General features: G+C 42.2%; 1 long non-coding RNA gene across 6 annotated transcripts in view; it reads right to left on the reverse strand.

Annotated features, from left to right (window-relative positions):
- LOC107984878 (uncharacterized) overlaps window positions 576-24,172 on the reverse strand; it is a 77,518-nt gene continuing 53,921 nt past the window's right edge. For 4 of the 6 annotated variants that reach the window (XR_001752259.2, XR_001752264.2, XR_001752260.2 and 1 more), the window contains 2 exons: window positions 15,093-15,158; window positions 576-758 (listed from right to left, as the gene is read on the reverse strand). This is a non-coding gene — a long non-coding RNA (uncharacterized LOC107984878). Of the gene's footprint in view, window positions 759-15,092; window positions 15,159-18,384; window positions 18,536-24,172 lie in introns of all 6 variants that reach the window. The other 2 variants (XR_001752258.2, XR_002957866.2) reach the window with 2 other exon arrangements.

Genomic DNA, 24,172 nt, shown 5'->3' on the forward strand with positions numbered 1-24,172 from the left:
ATATATACACATATATAATATACACACACATATACACACACACACACACATATATTTATAATATATATATATAATTTTTTTTTTTTTGGAGAGAGACTCTTGCTCTGTCACCCAGGCTGGAGTGCGGTGGCACAATCTTGGCTCAGCTCACTGCAACCTCCACCTCCTGGGTTAAGCGATTCTCCTGCCTCAGACTCCCAAGTAACTGGGATTACAGGCGCCTGCCACTACACCTGGCTAATTTTTGTATTTTTAGTAGAGATGGGTTTTTGCCATGTTGGCCAGGCTGGTCTCGAACTCCTGACCTCAGGTGATCCACTTGCCTTGGACTCCCAAAGTTCTGGGATTACAGGCATGAGCCACCACACCCAGCTGGCAATATATATATTTTTAATCTGTTGTACATGTAACAGAAACTTCTGGTCATCCATCAAAATCTATCTTCCCTGTCTTCTATGGTGGTAGAGTTTAAGCTGGGTCCCCAGCACTCCAGGTATAAACAGCATTACTCCGGATCCCTTGCAATTCAAGTTGACTCTGGGACTTACTTTAGGCCAATGGGTTATGGGTGAAAGTTGACTTTCCAGGTCATCTCCAATCTAAGACATAAGCCAGTGTTCTTGAGTCCCTTTGGTTCTTTTTTTCCATGAGCTGCAACATGGACTTCTCTGCAACCCAGCCTTGACCATACAAATGAGGACATTCTCTGGGGGAATGGCAGAACCGAAAGATGTCAGAGCTTGAATCGATGAATGACTCTGTGGAGCAAAGTAACCTTCTAACCTGGGCTCTTCACTTGGTACTGTTACATCAGAAAAGAATAAAATTCTGTATCATCCGTCTGCCACTGTAATTCGGAGTCACTTTTCTATAGCAGAGCTAACCAATACGCTCCAGCACCTGAAAATAACTAGAATATTCATCTGAACTTGAAGTGTTGCAAGCAGTTAGAAATGGGGATGATCTGACACTTTATTTATTTTATTTTATTTTTTTGGGACAGAGACTCGCTCCTTCACCCAGGCTGGAGTGCAGTGGCGTGATCTCGGCTCACCGCAACCTTCACCTCCAGGGTTCAAGCGATTCTCCTGCCTCAGCCTCCCAAGTAGCTGGGATTACAGGTGCCCACCACCACGCCCAGCTAATTTTTTTGTATTTTTAGTAGAGATGGGGTTTCACTATGTTGGTCAGGCTGATCTCAAACTCTTGACCTCAGGTAATCTACCCATTTCGGCCTCCCAAAGTGCTGGGATTACAGGCATGAGCCACCGAGCCTGGCCAATCTGACACCTTACATGTGGCTTCTGGGGAACACATAGGATGCCCTCCCTGGGTGGGAGGTGGGGTTCAGCAATCATCCAAAACAGCTGAAATTGAGGAATATAAGAGGCTTATATGCCTACCAATTGGGAGGGATAATGATGTATGTTTCGAGATGATGACGGCAGCAAAATAGTGATTTAAAGCATAAGCCCCAAATCAAAAGACGAAAAGACAGACATTCTGTAATGCACCCTTGAGATCTTCTACTTCTTATGTGGGTATCTGCCTATATCATGCTTTAGAGTTAGCATGGATTTTTTTGTTTAATTATATTCATCATCCTTCATGAGGCCAGAGAGGCAAGTGAGTCAAGCAACCTAACCACAATTCTGTGATGGCGATTTCACATCTTATTGTTGTTATTAGCTTTTTAGAGAGCCAAACCATGTTTAATAAGACTTTGTTATAGTTGAAAATGTGATGCCCACACCAAACCTATCAATCAGCCATGTGACTGTCCATTGCGGCTGAGTTTTTCTTTTCTGAGAGTTGGCAAAGGCAAATACCTGATTGGCTGCTTTATACCCATATATGTTTAAATGGCAGAGATCTGGTTCCAACCATGAAAGCAGATGTTGGGTACGTTACCCCATTAACATTCTGTAACCAGCCCTGCATGAACAGGCCTGAACTATTTCCGAACAATTACAGAAGCATTTGCAAATGTGTATTTACAATCTGACAGCAGTATAATTGCCGGGTAGATGGTTGACCTCTCCGACAGTGCAGAAAGCCTCCCTTCCAAACTGTTTGTTTATGTGAACTCTCCCAGATCTGCCTGGTCCAGCTGAAGTCAATCTGAGCACACCCATGGCCACACAATTTATGGGGCTGGATGCTTAGCAAAGGAGGTATTGCCCCCTTCCTTCTTAGTGGTGTATTTTATAGTATCTATGTTCAGAGTCTTAGTTAAATATATCTGGCTCAAATAAAATAAGTTATTGGCAAGGTACGGATCTCAGGGACTCTCTGAAGCCACTGAATAAATCAGCTTCAAGAAGGACAGCGGGGCGCAGTGGCTCATGCCTGTAATCCCACCATTCGGGGAGGCTGAGGCGGGTGGATCACTTGAAGTCAGGAGCTCAAGACCAGCCTGGCCAGAATGGTGAAATCCATCTCTACCAAAAATACAAAATTAGCCAGGTGTGGTGGTGCACACCTGTAATCCCAGCTATTTGGGAGGCTGAGGCAGAATTGCTTGAACCTGGGAGGCAGAGGTTGCAGTGAGCCGAGATTGTGCCACTGTACTCCAGTCTACTCGACAGAGTGAGACTGTGTCAAAGAAAAAAAAAAAGGCAGTAAGGAACAAACACAGCTAACTACCTCAAAGCCAGAAGGATGTGAACCTTTTCTTTTGTATCCTGTCATTATTGCTACAAGAAACATCTTGAATTGATTGACACCGACATAGAAAAACAACAGACACTCAGTGCCTCAGTCCCCAATTCTATCTGGCCTAACATGGGTCACCTGGAAGGTTTCCAGGAACCCAAAAATATGTTCAAAGGCAAGGGCTAAGTGGGGACTAGATGGACATCCCAAAACATCTAATCTCTCCAGTCCCTAGATTTTATAAATGCTCTAGATTCTGCCATTCAGACAGCTCAACTCTGTCTTCTTTGCAACCCTGCAATCTTGGTAAAGAAGTGGTTAAGATGGCCAGGTGCGGTGGCTCACACCTGTAATCCCAGCACTTTGGGAGGCCTAAGCCAGTGGATCACGAGGTCAAGAGATGGAGACCATCCTAGCCAACATGGTGAAATCCCATCTCTACTAAAAATACAAAATCTAGCCAGGCATGGTGGCACGCACCTGTGGTCCCAGCTACTTGGGAGGCTGAGGCAGGAGAAATACTTGAACCCGGGAGGCAGAGGTTGCAGTAAGCCAAGATCACACCACTGCACTCCAGCCTGGTGATAGAGCGAGACACCGTCTCAAAATAAATAAATAAGTATAAATAAAAAATGTTTAAAAAGCGGTTAAGAGTGCTGAGTCTGGATGCCTAGCTTTGAACCTCAGCTCCAGTGTCAGCCTATTCTGTGACCTTGGGCAAGTTATTCCTTCTCTGTAGATCGCAGTTTCCTCTTCTGTAATGTAGGAGAAATAAATTCTGTTTTAGGGCTGTCAGGGATTAAATGAGTTAACACATGTGACCTCTTTACTTAAAGCATACCAAAGTGCTCAGAACAGTGCCTGGGAAATAAGTGCCCAGTTACCAGTTGGCTACTAATTATGGTACTATTATAACTGTAACATTATATCATAACAATAACAATAATCATTGTTATTTCTCTAGTTCAGAGTTAGACTAACATTTATCTATTATGTACCCAGTCTTTCATTTTATTTCATTGACCCTCACATCAACTCTTTGTAGTGAGTACATGCTATTATTACTCCTATTTTTAGATAGGAGACCTTGAAGATCAGAGATGCTAGTTTTTTCCTCATTGTCACACAGTTCATAAATGGCAAAGCCAACATCCAAACCCACATGCCTGAGTTTCATAGCCCATACTCTTTCTGCTATAACCACATACTTGAAGATGAGGCAAGAATAGAAGGTTAAATTTACGTCTCCCTTGAGTCACCACATATGAAAGGGAAAACAATTCCAAGTTAATAAACTAGAGAGAGTACAGCATTTATTTTTTCCTTCATCATGTCCTCCAGCTTATTCAGCTGGTGCTGCACACAGTGAAATGAGTAATTAGCCAGGATGATTTTGATTAAAATGGAACATACCAATTAATAAATGAAAGTGCTGGCATACTTGCTAATTTAACAACTTGTTCATGGTGCCAGCTTTCCAGTTAAAGGACTGAGAAGGGAAAACGTTCCTCCACCTCTTAGACAGGATGATTAGATATTATTCAACTGTTCATTCTTGTTAACAGTTGCTTTCGTATTTGAGAATAGCATGAAGTTTTGTTAAAATTGCTAGAGTGATCATCTCCCAGTCCAGTTGTCTCAGATGTGACATACTTGGTGTGGTTCCTAATGGGACCTGTGTGTATACCCAATTAAGATTTTTTTAAATTATTTATTTATTTATTTATTTATTTGAGATGGAGCTTGCTCTGTTGCCCAGGCTGCAGTGCAGTGGCTTGATGCTGGGACACTCCAACTTCCACCTCCTGGGTTCAAGCAATTCTCCTGTCTCAGCCTCCTGAGTAGCTGGGATTACAGGTGCGTGCCATGATGCCTGGCTAATTTTTGTATTTTTAGTAGAGACGGGGTTGCATCATGCTGGCCAGGCTGGCCTCAAACTCCTGACCTCAAGTGATCCTACCATCTCGGCCTCCCAAAGTACTGGGATTACAGGAGTGAGCCACTGCACCCGGCCTGTTAAGAATTTTTCATTGCCCTCCCATCCCCACTCAGCCACCTCCCTGGGCCACGCCACATTGAACACAACTCAGAATTTATGAGCCAATTTCTCCATGCACACTTCTTCAACTACCCCTTACTTTATGTTAATAGCATGGACACCACTTCATTGCATTCCTTTGCATATCTGTATAATACATGTGTATCTCTGTGTTTATTCCAGACCTAACCCTGGAAGGGACAGATCCATGCACCATAAGACCCCTCACTCTGAGTTCCCCTATCCTCAAATGAATGGACCAAGGATCAATGGCAAACCCATAGGTGGCCCCTAATTCAGTGGCTTATGACTTGTATGATCTACTTAAATACCGGATCTAAAGTCCATTCGATTTTCAAAAAACTTTGAGCAATGCCAGAAGGTAACATATGCTTGGGAAATATTTTGGCCCATGTACATACTGATGAGTGAGCCCAAGAAGTCAGAGTTTAAAGTTAGTTGGCCAATAATGGTAGAAATATGTCTTTGCTCTAAGCAGTAGTTGTCGTGTCAGGGATTTCATCAGATACAACTGGAAGAAGAATATTTCCTGAAGCAATTTATCCTTCTTAAAGATCTCATACTCAAGCCCATAAATTTTAATTTTATAGGTGTAGACTTGGTTTAATATTTCCTCAACTATAACTTTCCTCAATTTTCATTTTAAATCTTCAAGCCCTTACTCTCTACTTCATCATGGATGTCAATGACATCTCTGTGTCAATTTTTTTCTCTTTTTCACTTATCATTTATGTGAAACTTGAAGTTTTCCTTCCGATTATTTTCTTCTCCTCACTTTCTTCACGTGTTTCTTCACTCTAGTCTCATTTCATCTTCTTCCATCAGCCTTCAGTTTCAGCTATATTTCACGGATCCCAAACAGCATTCTGAAAATTTGCCTACGTTATTTTTTCTGACTATAAATCTGTATGGTCTAATATCAGGCTAAATGATAAACTGAAGATAGTGGGAACATTTTGCTAGAACTCTCAACCTGTTACAAACATATATTAACCCATCTTAGCCCCCTGTAGTGAATTGAATAGTGGTCCCGAAAAGATATGTCCAAATCCTAACTCCAATGCCTGTGAATGTGAGCTTATTTGGAAATAAGATCTTTGCAGAGGTAGTTAAGTTAAAGACCTTGAAATGAGATCATCCTAGATTTACGGTAATCCCTAAATCCAATGACTGGTGTCTTTATAAATAAAAAAAGAGGGAAATTTGAGACACACAGTTGCAAGAGACACAGGGAAGAAGCCATGTGAAGACAGAGGCAGAGATTAGAGTTATGTTGCCGCGAGCCAAGGAACACCAGGAGCCACCGGAAGCTGGAAGAGGAAAGGAAGGGTCCTCCCCACAGCCTTTGGAGGGAGGGTGATGCTGCCAACGCCTTGATTTCAGATTTCTGGCCTTCAGAACCGTGAGATAACAAATTTCGGTTGTTTTAAGCTACCAAGTTTGTGGCAAATTGTTAGGACAGCCCTAGGAAACTACACAGCCCCCTTCTGAAACATCTCTTCATTTTGAGAAATAGCTCTGCCCTCTGTCTTGGGATTACCATGGAAACAGGACATTGCTGACCTCCCAGCATAAACTCAGTTAATCAGATTTAGTCCCTCAGTAATTCCCTTGGGATTAGTACCAAGCAACAGCAGAGTCTGTCTGCCTGCCCTCCGGAAGAGAGCATATGTGGGTGTTTGTGTTCCACCATTTGCCCTGGGAAGCAGAGAAAGCTTGTCTGCAACAAGAGAGGAGAACAAAGTCAATGACCAGAATGGAAGAGCAATGAAAGTCAGTCGTGTGTTGTGAAGGCATTAGAATCCCTGGATGTTTGTTCTTGAGACCCGGATGTTTCCATGGTTTCCATGAAATGCTCCCACCCTTCGTAGTTAAATTCCCTAACGTGCTTGAGCAAGCTTAGAAAGAGTTCTATAACTTTCACTGGAAAATGTCCTAACATATCACAAACACACGTCTTTATATCCTTCTCTTTTCTCTTTTCTCACACCCTTTTACACTATGGGGACCTTAGGTTCTATTCTTTCTTAACTTAGAATGGACCTATCCACATGTAGAGTCTTCTGGAAGTGCAATATGGTATGGTAGGAAAGACTGAAGACAGAAAACCCAGTCTCCTCTCATCACTAGCTATATGACCCATTGGACAGATTAAGCCCATATGCTAATTGCAAGAAAAATTAGGAAAATAGGCATCTGACATTTTCTCCTCCACTGTGAGAGGCAGACCCGGCTAACAAGGAAGAGGATGATGGGAAACTCATTGTCTGCCACATCATGTTTATTATATTTTATTTTATAAATAGAAACAAGGTCCTGCTATGTTGCAAAGGCTGGTCTCAAACTCCTGGCTCCAAGCAATCCTCCCACCTGAGCCTTCCAAAGTGCTAGTATTACAAGCATAAGCCGCCATGCCTGGCCTGCCTGCCACATATAGAAGTAAAACTGCTCTGACAGTTAAGTATGTGAGGGGGACAGATTACTGCTTGCTTGGCTCTTCTCACCTCTCCCCCACCACAGTTGCCCCCATGACTCCTCTATAGACTGCCTTTAGGTTCTATAAGGAACAAAGAGGGACAATGGAGACCCAAGTCAACTCACTGATGTCTTTGATAACATATGTGTCCTTTGCACCTCTTCTTTGTTGGTCCAGTAAACAGAAGCTAAAGCAAATGTATCAAAGTCTGAATCAACATTCCTGGAGAAGCCTTTGGGTCTGGGCTAGCCCATGAGATAACTGTGAAGCTGTCACAAGACACCCCTGGCTACAGAGCACCTGTAATGTGGCTAGTCCAAATTGAGATGCTGTAGGAGTCAAATACACACTGGATTTCAAAGACTTACTATTGGCTACATGGTGAAATGATAATGTTTTAGAGATGTTGGGTTAAATATAGGGTGAAAATTAATTTATCCTGTTTCTTAGTACTTTTTTGAATGTGGCTACTAGAAAATTTAAATTTACATACATGGCTTACAGTATATTTCTACTGGACAGAGTGGCTCTAGATGACTCATGTGTGGCCAGGACACTAGGACACTGGAGAAGTAATGATCACCCCATGTACAGATACAGTCTGTGTCCTACCCACATCCTTAGGACCCTACCATTGCAGTGAGCTCCAGATCACTTCCAACAGCCAACATTTGCATCTGTGTTCCTGCAGGCTTTTTCCAAAGCCACAGCAGGCCAGCTGGAAGTGACAGGGAATTAATGTCCCCTACATTAACCCTCAACCAATGACTGATGGGATTTTGCATATCAGTAGCTCAGGTTCTTTGCCCCTTGGGTGGGATAATTCTGAGACAGGTGTTCTGTACTTGCTCCCAAACTGAACTAAACTCTGGGTGCCCGCTGTGGTGGCAAGTTTCACACTTCTTTTCATTGGCTGCCTTCCCTTCTTTGTCTCATTTCTCCACTCCCATAACAATGTGCCCTGTAGATTCCAAATAAATAACTTGAATCTTGTCTTTAGGTTTCTAGGTAAACCAAATTAAGACACTCCTATATCTAATCCGTCGCCAAATCGTACTGAATTTATCTTCTGAATATCTATCAAATCTAGTTCTTCTCATCTCTACCGACATCAACTTAGTTAAAGCTGTCATAAACGTCTGAAAACTTTTGCATCTATCTGGTAACTATTACCCTGCACCATCTCTCTTCTATAGCCAGAGTTATTTTTCAATATAAATATCATCATATTTTCTTGAGGCACTCAAATGGCTTCCCATTGTTTTTTATGAAAAAGATGGATGGCTCTTACAAGGCCGTGTCCTGGCTCCTGTCTACCTATCTGGTTATGTGTAGTACCATGAGCCCCCTCCCTGCTCATCCACTCCTACAGCACTGGCCTGTAGAGGCTCAGTTTCAGTCCATGGGTGCCTCAGAACTCTTGCACAAGCTGATCCCTCAATCATTTCCCTTTGCCTGGTTACCTCATACTTATTGTTGAAGGATGCCTTCTCTGACACCTTAGCTAGGTTAGTTCTCCTTGTTATAAGCTCTCTTGGTGCCATGTACCTCTACTTCATAACTCCTGTCATAGTTACAATATGATATCCCCTTGATTCTTTGATTGATGTCCCCTCATTCTCTGGACTTCAACTTCCATAATGGCACAGTCATGTCTCAATTTTGGTCCATACACAAGAGTACTCTTAGCACTTGGCACAACACTGGGTAAAGAGTAGGTGCTCAATGGATATTTGTTAAATAAAAGAGTACAACTAAATGAGAAGTAGCTATTTCTACTCAAATAGCTAATTCAGTGGGCTAAGGAAAATTCAGTCTCTTCCCAACAGACTGCTTGACAAAGGTCAACCTAAGGTGGTCTAGCATTGTTGTAAATCACCCCCTCCTGCATTTACTGTATAAGGTATATAAAGTGCTCTACCAGAGTGGACATGAGTGAGTGGCTCCTATCTTTAACCAGTTTTTGCCTTGTAACTTAGTTATTTCCATACCTAGCTGTCTTGATGTACTATGAACTACCAGAGGAGCAGACTTAGCTCTTCTTTACCCTTCTAGCCTCAATGCTAGCCATATATTTAGGACCCATGCCCCTTCATATCTACAAAAACTTGCCTTAAATCCCCATTGTAATTCCAGTGGAAAGCTCGATATTCTCCCCAAGATTTATTCAAATCCTTCAGAGAGTACCTTTCTTCTAATCACCTTAGGTTCAATTTCCAGCTTCAGTGAATGTTAGTTCTGTATTCTGCATCTTGAGGTCTTTTTCCTTAGTGCCAACCCAAATCCAGGACAGAGACTGCTTCTCCTTGTTTTTCCTAAAGTAACTTGTATGTAAATCATTGAGTGGCTTTAATTGGAGACACAGGGATATCAGCCAGGTAAACTTTGATTGCAACATAAGAGAGCCAAACTTAAATTTGAATATTATGTTTTTCTTGTTCTTTAAAAGTCCTGTCCATTCTACCAAGTTGGGTATCAGGCTGATGCTGTATTCCTCCACATGCTTGTTCTTCCTTTTTGCTTTTCTCTTTGCTCCCACCACCAAAATGACATTCATTTCCTTTTCAGAGGATGGTGTCTATTTGGCTCCATGCATCTCATGCCCACTAGGACCCACCTTCCACATTCAATAAGCTCAGCAGTGAATTTTCCTAAATAAGAAGAGTTTATTTGTGGTACATTGGTTTCAATTACACTTTTTTCTCACTCCACTGGATATTTTTTAATGAAATGACAAGGGTCAAATGAGGACAGCCTTCTAGCAAAAGCCATGGGCACTGAATTGAAAAAAACATGCTGTGCAAAACACATTTGGTGGGTGAATTCATTGATCCAGTAACGAGCTTGATGAGCCTGAGCCTGAGTTGCAGTGAGGGGGGTGAATGATAAGATCAGGAGTGGGACTTGGAGGAATAAGCTGCATTTAGGAAATGAGCAGAAGAAAGGTAGAGCTAAGGCCATGAGGGCCAGAAGAGACGACTGGGGAGCAAAGGACGTAGGTGAGGGAGGAGGAAATGAAGAATTTATACTGAAGGAACAACAAGGATGACTTTTAGGAGGAGGGTGGTGAATGGAAGAACCCTGAGACAAAGGAAGACATCACCAGCCAGGGGAGGTAGGCATTGCCCCTAGTACTGTCCATAAATATGCTCTGTAACCTTGCAGACAGAAATCACAATCTTGCTGAACCTCAGGTTCCTTACGTATAAAGCGGATTGGAACTAGTTAATCTCTAATTCCTTTTCCTTTTGAAATCTCCAATTCTGGGTTTTCCCCAGCCTCATTTAAGCATATCCAGGTAATGAAGCCATTCTGCTTAATGTTTTACAAAGGAAAAATCTGACTGAGGAAAAGAAAAGGATCACTTTTTGTCTACTGTTCGAAGCTAGCAGCATGCATAGAGTTTATTATGTGAAAATGCCATTTGGGGAGGTTAATTAAAAATTCTGACATTCAGATCAGGGATTTGGGTCAGGAATGTACAAGTCCAGGGCTCTGGGTAGAATTAGACAGGCATCTAAACGTTGAACCTTATTAAGTATATAGTTAGGCCTTAGGAGGGGGACATTTGGAAGCTAATATTCCAAACCCAAGCCTAGTTGGCTTTGTGCATTTTGTTTGAATTATGACATATTTAATAGGATTTACCTGCAGAGCCTGTGCTTAACAATCTGTTTCCTTGGCAATGCAATCCTCAAACGGGCAAAGGCCATATGGAAAACATGGGTTATTTGGTAATTTAATAAGTGAGATGAGAGGAATAGTATTTAATTCAACGTACATATTTTTATCCCCTCTATGTTCAATAAGAAAAAAAGAGATCAGCATTAAGTACATAGCATGTACTTAATAAGTGGAAAGTACAATTATTATTATCAGAAACAATTTTTGTACTATGCTTTATATTATAATAGGTGCCCAAACATGTTATGCTATTTGTCCAAAAACACTCACCAGACAAAATAATTCTTCTTAGTAGTCCCAGAGGCGTTATGCTTCAGTTTGTTTTTCTCCCTCTTTGCTCCCTGCACTTCATCAGCAAGTTTGTTCATTCTGCTTCTGATTCACACCCTAAATGCATCCTGTCCCCCTTTCCACCTGTAGCACCTGGTCCCAGACTCATCATCCCCCTCAACCCCTTACCTCCCCTGCACCTATTCTTGCTCCTTATATGCCCTTCTTCACCCAACATCCAGAGTGATCTTTTGAAGTCATGAATAAAGTCATGCCGTTTCTTGGCCTAAAACCTTCTAGTGTCGTCCAACTGTGACTGACTTTATTTTTTTCTTTCTTTATTTTTCATTTCTGGTAGAGACAAGGTCTTGCTATGTTGCCCAGGCTGCCCTCAAATGATCCTCTCTCATCTGGCTCCCAAAGTGCTGGGATTGCAGGCGTGGGTTAGTGCGCTTACCCACCTGTGCCTGTAATAAAGTTCAACCTTTGTCTTTGGTTGACAAAACTGGCACATTGTGGACTCCGCCTACTTCTGACCCTTCTTGATCTTGGCCACTGAACTTCCTTCAGCTTGTGCTTCTTTCTCCTGTTGGAAACGCTATGCTTGCCCCCACCATAGTGCTCTTGCACTAGATGCCCCTCTCCCAGCAATTGTCTTCACCCTGGTTTTTGCATGGATGGCACTTGTTTTATCATCAGTTCTCACTACACCTGTCGTTTCCTGGAAGAGTCTAACGCTGATGTCATTCTCTCTCATGCACCCATATTTTACTTCCATATCTGGTATTTTTTGGGTACATACTTGGTTTTTTTTCCTATCTCTCACACTAGAACACAAGCTCTGTGAGTGTGGGGACTTTCAATTATATTTTATTTTCCATTAGGAATTCAATAAATAAGTACTGAGTGGATGAATGAATTAATTTGGCTGAAAACTAGATGGTCAAGGTCATTTTATTGCCAAGAAGTAGGTCAATACAAGAATGAAATCACAGTAATGATTAGGTAAAAATAAAATTCCCAAGCACTGCTACTTTAATTTGTATTATTTTTTAATACTGATGATTTGTTTCATCATGGGCTAATTTTAGTACTATTCATGCATATTTAATTATGTTTTAGAATTATTCATTTTTTTCTATTTTAAAGATTGTCTAATTTATTCTCAGCTAATTAGTCCAGCTTTATATTTGTATACATTAGGAAAAATTGAAGGCAACCTAGACACCAAACAAGTTGTAAATGGTTTAAATAAATTATGGTAAATTATAGAAAGATATATATGATTTCATTTTTGTCAGTTTTATCCATACTTCTCTATTTGTAAGGATATTCATAGAGGTGTTAAAAATTGTCTTCTCAGGGAGGAGGTTGGGATTATAATTATCACTTACATTCTTTGTTTTTTGGTAGTTTTTATTTTTGGGGGGCTTTTTTCCTAATTTTTCTACAATGTGTACACACTGCTTTAATAATCCATAAAAGTAATTTTAAAAACAAAGTTTTGAAAGGATATAAAATATAAGGACTTGGAATGTCTGAGTATGAGGAGTTTTTTTTTTTAACTTAAAAACACAAAATCCCCTCAAAACAAAAAACCTAATCCCTAAATTAAAAAAGATAGAAAGCAAAAATTCAAATTCTGAAACTAGAATTTTCAGGGACTGAATTCACCTAAGGTGATCAGAGGGAGGCCATCGTTGGCACATCTTTGGAGTACATCAGTTTAGCTGCCCAGGCCACACTTTAGTAGAATATTCATGGCTGCGAGACCATCTTCCTTCCCTTTCGTTCTCCCTCCAAGTCCATTGCTTGCGTGCGCCATAACATCACCCCTCTAACCCCAGTTTACTATATTCACACCTGCAGTAAAAAATGGCCACATATAAAACACTCTGAGAAGTTTGAGAAAGTTTTCTAAATGTAAGGAAGATATGTGAGGCTGTGGCTGCTCCCTCTCTTGGGTATCTATTTTCTTTAACCGATTCACATGGGGGCTGAGCCATGTACCAGGAAGAACATTGCAACTTGCCAGCATTGGAGTCCAGCCATGCGCAGGCATGTTGGAGCTTTGTAGGGTATCCCGCTATAAACAAGATGCCAGAAGCACAAGTCCCCTTGGGTAAAATCAACCTGAAAGGAATAAAGCCTGGGATAACAAGCTGAGTCTGGGCAGAAGAACCTGAGACTGAAAGGGAAATCATTATATAAGATAGACTGCGGTGGCTGGTATTTCTTGTACTGCTTTAGCAGTTCCTATGTGCAGCCTCAGGGGAGAAAACAGAGATCTTCATACAGATAAACGTAGGAAGCCTCTGTAGGGCTCTGAGGTTCTAAACACGTGCTTGTATTAAACAATTTTGATGTATCTCCCCAGACCATCCCCTATGACTTGCTTATCAAGACAGGAAAAAAATCGTTCATCATTGTGCAAAATTTCAAGTCCACTAAACGATCACAAGCATCCTGACCTGAAAATATGGATTTAAATTACAGAAAAATATGAGAAATTATTTGGGAAAATATTATAAATAAGAAATAGTCTGAGCCATCATATTCAGAAGACATGTGTCTCTCATTCTGCAGATTTTCAGTACAACACTAAGAGTGCGTCGTTTCATGGGACTTGTCGATTTTGAAAACCTTCATTCTCTGCCCACATTGAGTAGGCAACTATTTCTCCATGGCTTCCTCTTCCACACCCACTTCTACTAGAAACAGTTGGGTCTAAAAGGACCCAAAGAACAAATGAAATGGACGATTACATATATTCATAGAGTTCTGTCACTTGGCTTCTTGTTTACTTGTCCTTATAATCCTATGTGCCAGACTAGAATGGCAAGCTCTGTTGTACAGTGAAAGATTTGGTGAATTTCAATGCTTGCCCAAGAACACAAGGCTACTTAAGTGAGGATTGCTATTACAGAACCTATATTCCAGCCCCACTAATGTTACATTTCCCATGAAAGACCAAAAGAAGAGAAATCAGATGTGTTAAGGGCTTGGTGGTAGCTGTGTTTTTCATCTATACAGCATGTTTTCATATTGCCTTTGGCTATTGATCATCAGTGAATTTCCAAGTTATGTGTGTGGATAACATGATTTGTTAAGCATGTCTGAACTGGATCTCTGTCTCTTGCAACCAAAGGAACCCCAATATCAAATACATTTACAGCAGTGGAGAAATATAATGCAATTTATCCATTGTGCCCTGAGATTTCCAGGCCATACTAAGTTCAGAAGACCCCTATGAGTGACATTTATTTAAAAAAAAAAAAAAAGGCCGGGCGCGTGGCTCATGCCTGTAATCCCAGCACTTTGGGAGGCCGAGGCGGGTGGATCACAAGGTCAGGAGATCCAGACAATCCTGGCTAACACGGCGAAACCCTGTCTCTACTAAAAATACAAAAAATTAGCCAGGCGTGGTGGCAGGCACCGGTAGTCCCAGCTACTCGGGAGGCTGAGACAGGAGAATGGCGTGAACCCTGGAGTCAGAGCTTGCAGTGAGCCGAGATTGCACCATTGCACTCCAGAGCCTGGGCAACAGAGCAAGACTCCTCAAAAAAAAAAAAAAGAAAAGAAAAGAAAAGAAAACAACAACAACAACAAAACTAAGCAGATGATAGAATAGAAATCGACTGCTGAAGAATTCTATCATTCCCTATCACTACTTGAGGCAATCCGACAAAATTCATTAATTTTAGCTTCCAGTTAATAATAACACATCAGGAGAGAAGCTCACTAATGAACTTTTTCATTTGGAACATGAGGCGATCGATGTTTGTAGGGCATGTAGCACTCTTAAATTGACACTTATATTCAGCTAGTAGTGGGAAAATAAAGTTGTGTTTCTTGGACTAAACTCATCAGATAAATTCTCTTGGCTGTAAGTATTTAGACCTCAGGGTTAGCTAAAACTAAGCAATCAGATTATCTTGAGATACTCACATTTTTCAGATAATTGTTCCCATATAAAATTTCCCTCGTCCTCCTCTGCAGTTGATCTTGGATGAGCTAATGAGAAATGAACCATGCAATATGTTATTAATTTATTGGGTTATCCTCCATTACCCTAAAGTTGATCAATAAAAATTAAATCATTAAGGGGCCAAAGTATTTTTAGAAACAATACCCAAAACACCTGGATTATAGAATTCTGTTCACAAGTTTAAAGTCCAAAGGAAAGAATGCATCCCACCCCTACCAGCACTTCCATAAAAACAATCCTCCAGCTGGGCGCGGTGGCTCACGCCTGTAATCCCAGCACTTTGGGTGGCCAATGCGGGCAGATCACAAGGTCAGGAGATCGAGACCATCCTGGCTAACATGGTGAAACCCCATCTCTACTAAAAATACAAAAAATTAGCCGGGCGTGGTGGCAGGTGCCTGTAGTCCCAGCTACCCGGGAGGCTGAGGCAGGAGAATGGCAAGAACCCAGGAGTTGGAGGTTGCAGTGACCCGAGACCGCACCACTGCACTCCAGCCTGGGCAACAGAGCGAGACTGTGTCTCAAAAAAAAAAAAAAAAAAAAAAAGATTAAAACTTGCTACCCAAAGTTTACTTTTCCTTTCTCCTCCTAACCTCTGATGATCTTCAATAATTTAGAAAAAATGCAAAGATTTCTCTTTATCTTCTATGCCATAAAACTATAACCCAAACAATACCAAGAAAAAGCTTGCTAATATAGGGCTTGTTCATTCAGAAGCTGCAGGAACTCTGTGGCAAACTCGTATGTCAGGTCACTTTGTTCCATCTGGGACCATAAGTCCACTAACTCATAAAGAACAATAGCAGACACTGTGATTCTAAGAGAATTGGTCACTTTCATCACAGCATAGAATGACCGAAGCCTTGTGTAGATTCGTTCCATTCCTCACCGCCACTCAGCATCAGTGTAACCATTCTCAGGCAGCAGAAGAAGAGACCTGCCAAGGCTGCATAGCTGGCGATGGATAAAGGATGTGGCTCCCTTTGTGGCTGATGTTTGGCTCTTGATACCATTGCTGTCCCTCTGTAGTTATAGATCTGTATCTAGTCTCTGGATCTAGATCTAGTCCTGGATTTGGAGCTAGTCTCTGGATCTGAATCTAGTCCTAGTTCTGGATCTAGTCTCTGGATCTGGATCTAGTCTTGCTTCTAGATCTAGTCCTGGCTCTGGATCTAGTCCTGGTTCTGGATCTAGTCTCTGGATCTAGATCTAGTCCTGGATTTCGATCTAGTCCTGGTTCTCAGTCTAGTCCTGGTTCTGAATCTAGTGCTGGATCTGGACCTAGTCCTGGTTCTGGATCTAGTCCTGGTCTGGATCTAGTCTCTGGATCCAAATCTAGTCTCTGGATCTGGATCTAGTCCCCATTCTGGATCTAGTCCCCGTTCTGGATCCAGTCCTGGATTTGGATCTAGTCCTGGCATTGGATCTAGTCTCTGGTTTTGGATCTAGTCCTGGATCTGGAACTAGTCTTAATTTCTCCTCCTATTTTTGCCTTTTCCTTGCTCCTTGGATTTGCTGACTGCCCTTAGCTTCTCTGATCTGACCCTGTGGGGTCTCTTACAGGGCTGATTCATACTCATGCACCTTCCTCTACATCCTCTCTACCACCAACAGGGAGGCAAGGCCCTTCCTTCTCCACCCTCTCAGCCCTCTTGTCTGCGCAGGGCTCACTCTGCCTTCTGAGCGTTTGGGCTGTCACTTTCCCTAAGAAGATGCCCTGATAAAAACTCTGGTTCCTTTTCAGCCTAGGTTTAGCAAGTCCAATTTCTGTCCCTGGTAATATGAGCATGTTTCATTGGAGGATGAAAATCTCCATTTAGCTGGGATCACTAATCTTTCTGCAAAGCCCCATAGCACATGTATATTATCCATGATTTCGAAAAGGTAGTAAAGTTAAAAAAAAAAAAAAAAGTAACCCACATATGTTGGAGTTACACAATTCTAGTCCCATGTGGGTGTGGCCAAAGCCATTAATCCTCTAGGCCTCCATGTCCTTATCTGTCAAACAAGCATTAGGATGCCTACTCTGCAGGGTTGCTGGGAATAATGGACATAATAAAAGTGTGAGGCCTCTGGACACCTGACCAGGAGGGGCACTGAATCATTGGTGGGATGAACATAGGTCCATCCTGGGCACTTCACTCATGCCCATCTGATTTGTGTCCTTAAAACTCTGTGCACACTGAAAATCAACAAAGAAAACAGTAGAGTTAAACTACACACTCCATCTAGTAGGCCTAACTGATATTTACAGAACATTTTACTCAAATGCTGCAGAATACACGTTCTTTTCACCTGTACATGGAACATTCTCTAGAATAGACCATATCTTAGGCCACAAAACAAGTGTGTACAAATTAAAAAAAAAAAAAAACAGAAATTATATCAAGAATCACAGCTGCCTCTCCAAAACTCTTTGTTTTGATCTGTCTCATCTACATTTGGCCATTGCTATTTTATTGCTACTCAAAGTGATGTCCCTGGACAAGTAGCAACGTCCTCACCCGGGAGCTTGCAAGGAAATGTGGAGCTTCAGATTCTTCCCTGGACCTAGTGACTCAGCATCTGACTTTCACCAGATCCCCAGTGATTCCTGTGCATACTGAAGTTCGAGAAGCACTGCTCTATTTCACACTTCCTCTATAATTACCATCTGTCATTCCTGTCCTATTATATCTGTTATCTGATGTATTAGGCTCCTATTGCTGCTGTAACAGATTTCTGCAAACTTAGCAGCTTAAAACAATACAAATGTATTCTCTTGAACTTCTGGCAGCCAGAAATCTGAAATCAGTTTCTTGGGCTGAACCCAAAGTGTTCGCAGGACCGTGCTCCCTCCGGAGGCTCTGGGGGAGAATTTGTTCCTCTGCCTTCCAGCTTCTAGCACTTCATTTCTTGGCTCATGCCTCCTTTCCCCATCTCCAAGCCAGCAGTATAGCACCTTGCTTCAGTATTCACACTGCCACGTGGTCCCTCCTCTTACCATCCATTAAAAGGACAGTTGTAATTACACTGAGGGCCCACCTGCATATTCCAAGATAATCTTCCTATCTGAAGATCCTTAACTTAATCACATCTGCAATGTTCCTTTTAAGGAAACATTCACAGGTTCTAGGGGTTAGAATGTGGGTGTTTTGGGGGGCTATTATACAGCCTGTTATACCTGGGTCTCTAATTTGGCACTTAGTAGGTCTTTAATAAAAGTTGAAATTTGTATTCATTTAGTGGCTGTCACAATTAGTATATGCTCACCTGGAGATGCCTTCATGGAGAAAGGCAAGTAAATAAATTGACTATAACCTATCGTAATCCAGTATGAATGAATGTATCCCTTAGGTTTATATGTTTCCAATGGCAGGAAGTAGTTAATCTCAAAGGCTTTACAAAAGTGGTGAGCTAAGTCCTGAAAAATGATTAGAAATGCAGCAGGTGACCAAGACAGGGAGAGACATTCCAAACAGCAGAAACAGCATTTGAAAGTGCATAAAAGAAGACATGAAACAGCAAAGCCCATCCAGGGAGCTGTAGCGATTAGGTAAACTAGAGTGTATATATGAAGCCAGAGAGATCAGAAGATAAAGCAAAGAAGTCAGTAAGAATCACATTAGGAAATGCTTTGAATGACTCACCAAGGACACTGATGTTCATCCTGTAGATAGGAGGCTACCATTAAAGGGTTAAAATCAGGTCATTGACAAGGTCAGAAGTAATTGAAGAAAGGTCATTCTGGTAACAGTTTGGAGGCTATTTCAAAAGCTCAGAGCAATTAAATTAACTTTTCAGTTTATGGTAGGTGTTTGAATAAATATCTGCTCAATATCTCTCATATGCACCATCACGCTTGAACTGCTGGAGAAAAAGGCACCCAGAATAACAAAATGTTCTGTTCCAAGCAGATGCCTCTCTGATCTGAGCTGGGGGTGCAGCTGTTTGGTGGTAATCAACATGCCAGTTGCTGTTTCAATCCTTTTTAACTGGAGAGGGGACACCAGGTATTAAGTGGCAAGAGAGCTCTTAGGGCAGCAGGCCTGGAAGGCACCTGGATTCCTTCAAGATAAGCTCAGCCTGCTGCCTGCTCAGTGTTTCTCAGATTCAGGTTTGTGTTGGTCTTGGTTGTTTTCACCTCTTGGCCATTGTGAATAATGCTGCAATTAACATGAGGATACTAATATCTCTTCGAGATCTTGATTCCAATTCTTTTGGGTAAATACCTCGAAGTAGAATTACTGGATCATTTGGGAGTTCTATTTTTTTTTTTTTTTTTTGAGATGAAATGTCATTCTTGTTACCCAGGCTGGAGTGCAATGGCACTATCTTGGCTCACTGCAACCTCCGCCTACTGGGTTCAAGCCATTCTCTTGCTTCAGCCTCCCAAGTAGCTGGGATTACAGGCATGTGCCACCACGCCCAGCTAATTTTTTGTATTTTTAGTAGAGATAGGGTTTCACTATGTTGGCCAGGCTGGTCTCAAACTCCTGACCTCGTGATCCGCCTGCCTGGGCCTCCCAAAGTGACAGGATTACAGGCGAGAGCCACCGCCCCCAGCCTGGTAGATCTATTTTTAAATTTATGAGTAACCTCCATATTCTTTTCCACGGTGGCTTCACCATTTTTCATTTCGACCAGTAGCGTACAAGGCCTCCAATTTCTCCATATCCTTGTCAACACTTGTTGTCTTGTGTAGCTAACACTTCTTAAACCCTTATTACATTTGAAATGTGCTAAGTGGAAGTGTAATGTGCTACCAAATTTAAATGATGGAGAAATAGCACCTGAGAGATACCATCACACAATGACACATGTACTGAACCAAGCACTGAAGTTTTGCATTTGCTGGATTCTCATCCCTGATTTCTACAAACCAATTCCAGCCTCAGTTTAGTCAACTGTCTGTAGAGATCAGTGACTCTTTGGACACTAACACCCATTTTTCCCAATAGTTATATTAAGGATCAAAAGTGCTAAAGCCCTTTGCAAACTGGACAGATATCAGTTACTTACTTGTTTACAATTCTGGAAAGGCACACTTTGCAAAGAGGTTGGAAAAACGCAAAACTCTCAGCTTTGTTCTTTCATCAAAGAAGGCAAATATGAAAGTCATCATGTTTCTTGCTTCACAAAACACGACCTGACATAACAAGGCTTTGTGCCAAAAAACAAACTAACTTATTTCTTTCCAAAGAAGCCAATGTATGTAGCTGTCTGGCCACCTAAGAGACATGCATCTTTAAGCAGAGGTTTGTCCCCTCCAGAGATACTTGAGACATCAGTGCCAAGCCTGAGAAGCCCATTACTACAACCACCTACCCAGGAAAGATAGGGATGTTTGATATAAAGTGCTCTTGGCTGAGAAAGTTTGAGTCTCTATTCATGCCAGTTCTGCCTGCTCTTAGCTTTCCTGGCAAATCCTTGGCTCATGAAAACTTAAGGACAAAATGGTAGAAGATTCATGTGGTTGGTGCCTATGAGTGAGAAGTCTGGAGTCGAATATCAGAAGGAAGACCTCTACAGAATGGACCCCAATGAACACGCATGAGAAACTTTACCTACAGAGACAGCCAATATGGGCATGCACCAAAGATGCAGACAATCTAGATAATTCTTCAGTTGTGTCCCCACATTGTCCTTACCTCCAATCTTTATTCACACTGTCCCTTCCCAGTTAATGTCCAGCCCATATGACCATCTCATCAAATCCAGGCCATCCTTCAACGCTGCCTTCTGTATAAACTCCTATGATGCCAACCTGCCATCTTTCTTTTCCCTTCCTCCTTCCCTCTCTTACCCCAGTTTTGGTCCCACAGCACTTTTATGGTACTTCAACCCAATTCAACAGAAATGTGGATTCCAAGATTACAACACAATAAATCCCTTGAGATGCATAATTATATAGAGGAAAGTGCATGGACTCAAATCCTGCTTTGCCTCTCACCAGCTGTGTGAGCAAATTCCTTAACCACATGCCATGCAGAATCTGACATAAAGAGGCTGGGATTTGGGGCTGCAGTGCTAGGTTTTAATCCTGGCTCTAATACGTAGCATCTGTGTGATTTTGGACACGTCACTAACCTCTCTAAGCCTCCACATCCATACCTGTAAGTTGAGGCAATAACTGTCTTCTGGCCAGGCGCAGTGGCTCAAGCCTGTAATCCCAGCACTTTGGGAGGCCGAGGCGGGCAGATCACGAGGTCAGGAGATCGAGACCATCCTGGCACGGTAAAACCCCATCTCCACTAAAAAAAAAAAAAATACAAAAAAATTTAGCCGAGTGTGGTGGCAGGCCCCTGTAGTCCCAGCTACTCGGGAGGCTGAGGCAGGAGAATGGTGTGAACCTGGGAGGCGGAACTTGCAGTGAGCCAAGACTGTGCCACTGCACTCCAGCCTGGGCGACAGAGCAAGAATCCATCTAAAACAATAATAATAATAATAATAACAGTGTCTTCTTTCAGGAGCAGCTGTAAGGATGAGTGAGTTAACAGGATGGGCACACTGGATGGTAACACCACTGGTATCCGAGGTGCAGTTTCCCCATCTCAGGACTATCGTGAGGACTGAGGGAAAGGCTGTGTGTGAGGTTTCTAGGACTGTCCATGGCAGCATGAGTGGCTCCATAAATGTGCTTCTTCTCCTTGACTAGAGAACACATTTATGGATCCTCAATCCTTCTTGCTCATTCTTGGGCACCGTCTCTGTGCTTTGCACATAATAGATTCTTAGATCAGGTCAGAATACCACTTCAGAAGCAGGTTAACCAACATTCCAGAGAGCTGAGGGGCCCAGGCCAGACCTAATTTCCTGAAGTGGGAAATTTCTCCCAGAAGGGGAGAAGATGCCACATGAAGTCAACTTGCAGCTGGTGGGGAGTATACAGGAGGCATGGGGATAGGGCACTGCAGCCAGGGTTTGGCAGGTTGAGATTTACCTCACACCTCCCTGAATTTATTTATTTATCCATTCATTCATTCACTAGTGAAGCAAGACCTCTTCTTTTCTTCTCTGAGCTTACTAAGCCCAATGAAAAATTTTTGTCTTCAACAACTCCCTCTGAAACATCAACTTGGCAAGACTCAGATGCCTTGACTGTAGCCTCCCAAAACACCACGTCATGGGGACTGACCACTCTCTCCAGACAGGCTGCAGGGCAAGGAGCAGGGCCAGCTGACGTGGAAGTTCCCTGGCACACCAGGCAACGGGGCCTGTAGTCTTATGGAAAAACACTGGGCTCAGGGCCAAGTTCCTGCACTCCAGCCTCAGTCCTCACATTTGCTGTGTGTCCTTGGGTGAAACACTCTACTTTTGGGGTGGGTGATGGTGTGTGTGTGTGTGTGTGTGTGTGTGTGTGTGTGTGTGCAAGCATTTACTTAAATACGGCCCAGCTATGATCCCAGTCCCAACACCCTACTGAGGGCCTTGCATTCAGGATCTCCTTCCATCTTTGCAACAGCCTTATCTGATGGAGCTGGGATTTGAACCAGTGTCAGCAGGCCTCCAGAGGTCATGGTTTTTGTCTCTGAGTATTTCTCAAAGGAAGTCCACGTGTAAACCTTCTCTATGAATTTTGAAATAGTTATGTTCTATCTCTACTGCTATTTTCAAACTTTTTTTTAAGAGGGAGTCTTGCTCTGTCATCCAGGCTAAAGTGCAGTGTTACAATCTCTGCTCACTGCAGCCTCTGCCTCCTGGGCTCAAGCAATTCTCCTGCCTCAGCCTCCTGAGTAGCTGGGATTACAGGTGCACACCACCATGCCCAGCTAATTTTTTTTTGAATTTTTAGTAGATACAGGGTTCCGCCATATTGACCAGCCTGGTCTCAAACTCCTGGCCTCAAGTGATCCACCTGCCTCGGCCTCCCAAAGTCCTGGGATTATAGGCATGAGCCACCATGCCCAGCCAATTATTTTTAAAAGAAAATATATTTCACTACCATGAAAGGAAAACAAATATCACTTGCCATAAAGAGAAGGTAAACTAAAAATGAGAAACAAAACAACGTTAGAAAATTCTAGCCAGATACGGTATTGATGCCTACTAATAGAAGTGTGACGAGTCTGGGGCACATCACAAAATAGATGACATCGTCAAATGGGGAAGTGGAGGAGAGTTTAATGGAGAAACTATTAACAATGATGTGGGCAAAGTTAAGGAAAATAAAAAAAATAGCTGGTAACATTAGAGGGCAATTATCCACGAGGCCAGGTTTACCAGATTTAGTAAATAAAGACACAGGATGTCCAGTGACATTTGAATTTCAGAAAACAATAAAGTTTTTTTTAGTATAATTATGTCTCTTGCAATGTATGGTACCTATTTATACCAAAAGTGATTTGTCATTGATCTAAAATTCAAATTTTACCGGATATTCTGTATTTTTCTGGCAACACTACCCTAGGCATGAGAGTATAGGAATGAGGGTGGTTATTGGAACACACAGGGTCGGTGATATTTGGAAGTGAAGGGCGACCTAGTGGGAGTTACAACCTGCCTTACAGGAACAAAGCCAAATGGGACAGGGAATGAGCTGGAGAAATAAGGATTCTGAGCTTGCTCTCCTCTTCCTGTCTTCCAATTGTCTGCTGGTATCTCTGATTATTAGGACAATCCAGAAACTAGAGGCCAGATCAGCCTGTTGACCTGCTCCAATGGTTTCCATGGAGATAGGTCTTCCAGGGCATTGAGGAGGGCATGGAAAAAGGAAGAGCATGGATCTAGAAGGCAAACAGAAAGATACCTAGGATGCCTCCTGGGGATTTGAGCCTGAAGTCCAATCCTTACTGTTCAAAGAGTAGATGAGCAAATGTCAGAAAAGTGTCAGAATATTTGCTAGCACTCAACTTGAGACTTTTTCACTTGGAGCAAAGGTGAAAAAGAATGGGGAAAGAAAAAGGAAAGATAACTTTCTCATGAAGTGCCCCATGTTATGTAACATCACGGCAAGGTAGCACCTAAAATTATGTGTGAACTTCTAATTTTATGTGTCCCACACTTTGGGAAACCTGCTAAGATAAAAGGCTCAAGGGGCAAGAGTAGGGTCAGGAGAGTG

Source organism: Homo sapiens, chromosome 16 (genome assembly GCF_000001405.40).
Source record: "Homo sapiens chromosome 16, GRCh38.p14 Primary Assembly".
NCBI lineage: Eukaryota > Metazoa > Chordata > Mammalia > Primates > Hominidae > Homo > Homo sapiens.